The sequence below is a fragment of the Homo sapiens genome, chromosome 14 (genome assembly GCF_000001405.40).
Source record: "Homo sapiens chromosome 14, GRCh38.p14 Primary Assembly".
NCBI lineage: Eukaryota > Metazoa > Chordata > Mammalia > Primates > Hominidae > Homo > Homo sapiens.
Window position 1 is genome coordinate 97,848,242 of NC_000014.9, and position 2,280 is coordinate 97,850,521.

The 2,280-nt window shown below is 42.1% G+C and overlaps 1 annotated feature.

Annotated features, from left to right (window-relative positions):
• Positions 941 to 1,150: a silencer, noted in NCBI's record as "fragment chr14:98315519-98315728 (GRCh37/hg19 assembly coordinates)". NCBI's record gives its function as "represses an EF-1alpha promoter that drives an FKBP-Casp9 reporter gene in an ReSE screen in phorbol 12-myristate 13-acetate-treated (for megakaryocytic differentiation) K562 erythroleukemia cells {active_cell/tissue: K562(+PMA)}" and the evidence as "EXISTENCE:reporter gene assay evidence [ECO:0000049][PMID:32094911]".

Below are 2,280 nucleotides of genomic sequence, written 5' to 3' on the forward strand. Positions count from 1 at the left end.
CCATTTAGTGAAAGAAATTCTGTGAGTTGGGCAAAATAGCGTGGACCAAATACCAACTCTCAGTAATTTTATTTACTTGAGGGGTAAAAGTGAAACAATAGATTGCCCACATGTCTTTTGAAAAGTCCTTCATAACTGCCAGCTCTCGTAAGCTTAGATGGCTAATACAGAAATATTCTCACCATCCTCTGTGTCATCAGGCCTAAGAGGCCTCAGCGACGGACTGAGAGGCTGAGGGGCGCTCTGCACTTAACCCAGTACATGGGCTGAGCCTCGGCCACGCAAATAAATCATCACGTATTTTCAATTAGTTTGCACTCTCACTAGCTGCTGTCCTGAATAATTAGGAAAACGATTCACATGCTGCCAGGAGCCGATCTGAAGTGTTATCTCTGGGATAATTATCTGTCTGCAGTTCAGTCTCCCCTGCTCCTCCCAGGTCAGCCCGGCCGCAGGAGGACACCCAGAGAGCATTAATGAGCTCTCATTGAAGATGTTAAAAAGCTTGTATTGATCTGTTTGTCCAAGAAGGAGATATTTAAGCCTCTCTGCTGAGGGCAGGAGAGACTGGCGAACCCTATCACAGAGCCTGTTAGCTGGCCTCTGCTGCTTCTGCCAGCCCCGCCCTCCTCCCTGCAGGTCTCCTTCCAGAGGTCAGACTTCAAACTCATCATGCAGCTTTCCAACCTGCCCCCTGTGCCACTTTCCCAGTGTTTGTTTTCTTTGAATGTGTGTGTGTGTGTGTGTGTGTGAGAGAGAGAGAGAGACAGAGACAGAGAGAATGAGGGAAGGAAGCCCAGTGAATACATACGAATCCACAAGCCTGTACCAACATAAATGAATGAACAAATGAAAGAAGTGAATAGAAAAGAAGACACGGCTCATTCTTTTCTCTTTCTTCCTTTCTTTCTTTCTTTCTCTTTCTTTCTTTCTTTCTTTCTTTCTTTCTTTCTTTCTTTCTTTCTGTCCTTCTTTCAACAGAATCTCGCTTTGTTGCAGTGGCATGATCTCAGCTCACTGCAAGCTCTGCCTCCCGGGTTCAAGCAAATCTCCTGCCTCAGCCTCCCGAGTAGCTGCGACTACAGGCGCCCGCCACCACGCCCGGCTAATTTTTTGTATTTTTAGTGAAGACAGGGTTTCATCGTGTTAGCCAGGATGGTCTCGATCTCCTGACCTTGTGATCCACCCGTCTCGGCCTCCCAAAGTGCTAGGATTACAGGCGTGAGCCACCGCACCCGGCCACGAGGTTCTTTCTTACCATGGAATGCCAGCTAATAAAGGTAGATGGAAAGAACGAATTAGAAAATCGCCATTTGACAACTACCATAGTAATAATTGATCCAGATAAAAAATATCAAATATCAAAGTGTAATGAAAAGCAGGCATTTGCATACACTCAATGCATCTCACAAAAAGATACTTACTCATTTAAACAGGAAAAAACGAGTAGCTTCGCAGTAGAGAAATCTGGCAGATGCTACCTTAACCAAGTGATCAAAGTTAACATCCATAGTAATGGGACTAACTGCCATCACATGCCCCCCAGGCGCCGAGGAGGACATAACGTCACTTCTGTGACATTCCCGCCAAAAACACATAACCTGAATCTAATCACCAGGAAACAGCAGACAAACTCAAATTAAAGGACTTTCGACAAAACAACTGGCCTGTACTGTTCATAAATGTCAAGTTCGTGAAAGGCAGAGAAAGAATGTGGAATAGTTCCAGATCAATGGAGACTAGAGACAGTACAAGTAAGTGAAATGTGAGATTCTAGATTTGATCCTGGACCGAAAAATTAAAATTACTTTGCTTTAAAGAACAGTGTTGGGACCATTTATGACATTTGAATAAAGTCTGTGGATTAGAACATAGTGCTATATTAGTGTTTATTTTCTGATTTTGATCATTATACCATGGTGATATAAGAGAATGTCTTTATTTTTAGGAAATGCACATTGACATATTTCTGGGTAAAGGAGCTTCTATCTGTAACTCACTCTTAAATAGCTCAGAAAAACAAGTAACAGTGTATGTAGATGTGTGTATACATACACACATATATATACAGTGTATGTAGATGTGTATATACATATGTATGTATTGATATCTATCTATATCTATCCATATGTTCACCCATCCACCCAGCATCCATCCATCTCTCCCTTAAGAGAAAGAAAAAGCAAATGTGGCAAATGTTAACTTAGGGAATTTGGGTAAAGGAGATTTAGGAATTTATTTACTGACTTATTTTGCAACTTTTCCGTAAACCTGAATGTT